This window comes from Homo sapiens, chromosome 15 (genome assembly GCF_000001405.40).
Source record: "Homo sapiens chromosome 15, GRCh38.p14 Primary Assembly".
NCBI lineage: Eukaryota > Metazoa > Chordata > Mammalia > Primates > Hominidae > Homo > Homo sapiens.
Window position 1 is genome coordinate 95,827,725 of NC_000015.10, and position 6,000 is coordinate 95,833,724.

A 6,000-nucleotide genomic window follows, 5' to 3' on the forward strand; every position below is an offset into this window, starting at 1 on the left:
CAGTACGCAGTCAGGGTTCAAACTGCCCCAATGTTCCAAATCATTAGTTTCTACAAAAGTAAATTCTACACCATTCAGAAACTTATTCAGCCAGCATTTGCTTCTCTTAAATGGTTTGGAGAAAATGAGAACCTTTATTATCCCACCATTGTAACTACCATATTTTGGGGTGTCTAACTCTCACTTTTTCCTTCATTGAGAACTTTCCCTCATCCAAGGAAAGGCCCCTCAGTAGTCAAGTGTGAGTGTTACAATCCTGCATCCCTGGACACAGGATGTGACATTATCTGACCAACCCCTCGTCCAAGTTGGCCAGTCGGGTTCCCTTTTAAATGAACTTCCTTACATTAACAGAGAAGTACTGGGAGCTGAGTCAACTAATGGTGTGTCTCCAGAGGGAAGGCTGAAAATTAACTGCTCTTTGAGTTCAATTGGTTCAATCCTTCCATGACACTTTCAGTATCTTTCCAATGAATATTCTTTTTTTTTTTGGCTTAAACTAGCTCAAGTTATTTTCTGTTGATTGCAAACCAAAGATATCACTAATACAGTTTGTTTTATTTTTACAGTTTATTACTGTTAATTAACAAAAATCTTTTCAGTGACTTTCCCTTGACAAATAATGATGCATTCCCAAGAAAAATCTCCCATTTATTTTCAGAGCAATAGCATGAGAGGCCAGAAAACATCCAGCCCAAAATTTGATTTTAAGTTCCCTGAAGAAAATGACTACATCTTGCATGTTTTTGGTATCACACCTGTACAATACCCCTGAGTAGCAACTAACTAGCTATTTCCATCGCTCAACCACTCACAAAATGAAAGACATCATTTTTTATGAAAATTGTGGCCAGGTGTGGTGGCTGACACCTGTAATCCCAGCACTTTGAGAGGCCGAGGCAGCTGGATCACGAGGTCAGGAGATTGAGACCATCCTGGCTAACATGGTGAAACCCCGTCTCTACTAAAAATCCAAAAAAAAAAAAATTATCTGGGCGTGGTGGCGGATGCCTGTAGTCCCAGCTACTCGGGAGGCTAAGGCAGGAGAATGGTGTGAACCCGGGAGGCAGAGCTTGCAGTGAGCAGAGATCACGCCACTGCACTCCAGCCTGGTCAACAGAGTGAGACTCCGTCTCAAAAAAAAAAAAAAAAAAAGAAAATTTTAAGACCCAGTAACCTACAAGAAAGAAGATCCTAATACCAAATTTTAAGAATAATAGAGGTGTGTTTCTATGTAAAAACATTTCTGTGTTTACGTCCATTTGTGTAGAGCTGGCTTTATCTGGTTCATTAGCATGCCTAAGAATGGCCACTAGCATTTTGCATCCACCTAACACCTGAAAGAAAATGCTGAGCGGCCTGTTTAACATTGCCAACATCTTCATAAATGAGTCTGTCATTTGAGCTGAGTTTTATTCGGAGAAGACATTCAGGAGCTCTCACTGTGGCTCAGTATTCCAAATGAAAAGCTTTGCTCATCATTAAGAACTCCCTCTGCCCTCCTAGCCTCCCTCTTCCTGAGCCGCCATCTGGGTAGAGATGCATTAGACCATTGCCAAAAACTGCTTCTTCCAACAATAGGTGTCACTATGTGACAGCATCCATAGATTAAGCTGTTACTTCGGGGTGGTGACAGGGCCAGAATAAAGGGTCCTATAGACTTTAGATTAGTAGAGATTGAGATGTGGTGGTTGAGCTGTGTATGGTTTATATTCTAACCAAACTGATTCACATGCGCCCTAATCTCTGCTGTCTAATGAGCCCCTGTGATTGGGGAGAATCAACAGTGAACATCTTGCCAGTGTCCTGGCAGTGCCTGAGATAAAGAGCTTGGAAAGGCTTTTACTAAAAGGAGCTGTGAAACAGTTCAAGTCAAAATGCAAGTTTCAACTCAATATTCTCACCAAGGAACAAAATATAAACAGCTATCACCCATTGTAATGATTAATTCTCCCGTCTCATTGTTGGAAGGGTTTCAGTTCTGAATCTCCTTCTCCCCATCAGATAGAGCATGAGATATGTTGAGAGGAGATTGTTAAAGCCTAGTCTGTAGAATTTTATCTGGTCATCTGAGTCACTCAGAAAGCCCCAAGCGCTCTTCTTTTACATGTATTATAATAAAACAAATTATTCTGGTGTCACAGACCTTGAATACCTACTAACCTTGATAAGCACTTACATCTAAACAAAAAGAAAATCAATTTGCATTTTCCTTTCTGCTGGCTAACATAATGCTTCATTTTACAGTTGCCATTAAGGGTTATTGCTATCTTTACATACCACATTAGGCAGTTTGTGTCCATTGTTCATGCATAGTTCCATCAGAATGTTTCAGGTTGAAGGCATTTTCACAATGATGCTGCTTTTGTCCTGCCCCAGTGCTATTATCTTGAAAGTGTTTATCCCAACAGATCTCTTCAAGACCTGAAAACTGTCCTCTGTGAAAACATGTCAGTCATCACCTTCACTCACAACTGGAATTAACAGTGCTCAAGGTCTCACGGCGCACACACACACACACACACACACACACACACACACATACACACGGTTGGCTTACCTGGGTGGCCAGACATGCAAAGCTGCAAAGCTTCTTGAATTGACCTTAATGAATTAAAACCTGCACAGGCAGAAGAAATCTCCTGAAAAAACCATAGATTTCCAAACCGTCTCACCAGGCTGACAAAAGTTTCAAACCATGCCAAGCTCAGCCTTTGAATTAGCATTTTCTCTCCTGATCTATGGCCTCTTAATTTTCTGGGGCAGAGGAAGCAAACCGCAGGCATTCATTAAGCAAACGTCTATGTATGGGAAGAAATGGGAAGCATATTCCTTCTGAAAAACCACAAATACTTGAGTTAGAACAATTGAGAAACGGTCAATGGCAGGTAGAATAACACAATTATTATAGATGTAACCTTTTGGGAGGTAAAGACAGAAAGTCTTAACCTAGAAAGATAGATGCACTCGATGAAAAAGAATGACCAGCCAAGACCCATTTCACAATGTAAAGGCATAGAAGGAGTGGTTGCAGAACACCATTCCAACATTGACAAATAGCTTGGTCAGAGATCAAAAATGAAAGCGTAAAATATTGATATTTTAAAATTGAGTTTTCGTAATAGAAAAACACAAAAGACCCATTTTCTCTAGGCATATTTGGCAACCACATTTCAATGTATATTCAGCTATTTTTTATTCTGTATTAGTTCTGTACTGTTTTTATGCCTCATTCCATTTTAAATCAATAAAAAATATTTCTGGAATATTTTTACATCTGTGAAAAAGAATCTGGAATGCTGAATACTTAATCTCTGTTACTGATTAGTCATATTGTTTCATGAAGGGACTAGATTCTTAGATCCTACTGGATAGGTACAGCATCTTTAAATTTAGTCCAGGCCTTGTGTGAAGTAGTTAATGATGATGGAGAAGATGCTGATAAATAAAAATAGCATAAACACTGGCAGAACTATTGATCCTCGGAATATATGGCCATCCTCCAAAGAGCTTAAAATATAATAACACTTTACTCAGAAACTATACGCAGGTACTTTATGCACAGCCCAGTGAAAGAGAAGAAAATACCTACTTATAAAATACAGAAGTGTGGACTCTCAGGCAGTATCTAGAGTAGAAGTCCTGGAAAAGAAAAGGTGAATGTGGTCTGGCACCTGTGTTTTTGTTTTTGTTTTTGTTTTTGGAGCCAGGGTCTCACTCTGTTGCCCAGGCTGGAGTGCAGTGGCCACCATCTTGGCTCACTGCAACCTCCCACCTCCTAAGCTCAAGCGATCTTCCCACCTCAGCCTCCCAAGTAGCTTGGATTACCAGTGTGTGCTATCACTCTGGCTAATTTTTGTATTTTTAGTAGAGACAGGGTTTCACCATGTTGCCCAGGCTGGTCTCGAAATCCTGAGCTCCAGCGATCTGCCTGCCTCAGCCTCCAAAGCACAAAGTACTAGGATTACAGGCGTGAGCCACTGCGCCCGGCATCCTCGCACCTGTTCCATAGAATTTTACAATCTGGGATGAAACTGACAAGAAAGCAGTGAAAACACATAAGTGCTCAATTTCCCTGTACAAGATTGAAAATCATTTCAATATTACTGTCTTGTTAATCTTTGTGATTTTCTTATACAATTGGTGTTATTTATCATCTTAGTCCACACTGGGACATTTTGGGACTCTGGGAGATTGCCTGAGAGTTAAGCAGGAAGTCTACGCATGGAAATCCAGTTCCCTACTCTTATAGCACCTCGCATGAGGGGGAACTGTGATTTTCTGCAGTGCCTCCATAGCAGCATAGACCTCATGGGTATTTCTAAGTTCTTTCCAAGCATGCAGGACCCAGGAAAGCCTACTCGATTTAACTGTGCTTGCTGCTTCACTTCTAAGCTCCACACAACATCACCAATGCTCATTAAAATACTGGAAGAATATGGCCGGACGTGGTGGCTCATGCCTCTAAGCCCAGCACTTTTGGAGGCCAAGGCAGGAGGAACACTTGAGGCCAGGAGTTGGAAACCAGCCTGGCCGACACGGCGAAACCCCGTCTCTACTAAAAATTCAATAATTAGCCAGATGTGGTGGCACACACTTGTAGTCCCAGCTACTGGGGAGGCTGAGGCATACCAATTGCTTGAACCTGGGAGGCGGAAGTTGTGGTGAGCTGAGATCGTGCCTGTGCACTCCAGCCTGGGCAACAGAATAAGACTCTGTCTCAAAATAAATAAATAAATAAATTTAATTAAGTTAAATAAATAAAAGATTGTAAGAATATTTATAGAATTCCATAAATAGCAACGCAAATAATCTGAAGACCAAGCCATTGTCATTGAGAAATTTCTCCACTTCCGCAGTGCACCCTCTCATTACAGTGCCAAATTAAAATTTCCTAAAGAAGATGGGGAAACATTTATTTTGGTAAAATGGGAGTGATTTTTTTTTTTTCAGAAATAAAAATACTCTTATGATGATTGGTAGCTCCACCTAAAGGATTTTAAAGTAAAATTTAAAACAAATAAAAATTGTTTAGGGACGAATATTTGTATTACCCAAAGATTTTTCTTTTCACAAAAGAGTTCCCTACAGAATTCTTCTAAGTGCTGAACTCCCCTGGTGCCTTTAAACGGTTGTTTACAGATCATTAACTACTCACAAAAAGGCTGGTGCAGAAAACCTGCCAAAGTATGAGAATCTCCCATTGAGGAACCAAAATTTAAGAGAATGCTTGAGCGACAGAATTCAGTTTGCCAGAAATAAATTTTCATAATGAATTTTGGAATGCAAAATTATATGCAAGTCAACTTTATATAGAATTTCTTCCTTGCAGGCAAACAGAACCCAAATTTTAAGAACATTATTTTTAATGTTGAAATATTTGGGCATTATATGCAAATATTAAAATTTGCCAAACCATCACTCAAGTGTTGGTATTTAGGTGGTTTCCAAGTTTTCTTAATATCAATAAATAACACTATTGTTAACATCCTAATTCACAAAGCTGCATCCACATTGCTGCTTGATTCCTTAGTAGTGCTTGCTTATAAAAGTAGAATGGAGGGATAAAATGCATGCAATTTTTAATGTTTTTGATACAAATTAATCAAATGCTTTTTAGACACGAGTTTCCAAAACGAGTTTTCTTAACCACACTGCCATATTACTGAGTCTTCACCAGAGGTGACTGAACATTTTGAAAATGGCTCCTAAGAGTTTTAGTTGAAAACATTACTTTCTGTTGCTTATTTTAAAATAGTTTGATTACAAATAAAGTTGAACACATTTATTATCTTAATTATTGCTTTGTATTTCCTCCTCTAAACTAACTGGTTTTACCCTTGCCCTCCAGCTGGGATTCTCAGAACTTTTCTTGCTGATTTGTATGTGTTCTTCACATATTAAGGATAATAATTTTCCTTTCATGTCAGTTATACATATTTTCTTCTACTTAGATGTTTGCATTTTAATTTTGTTAGTGAAATTTATAACATGTGATTT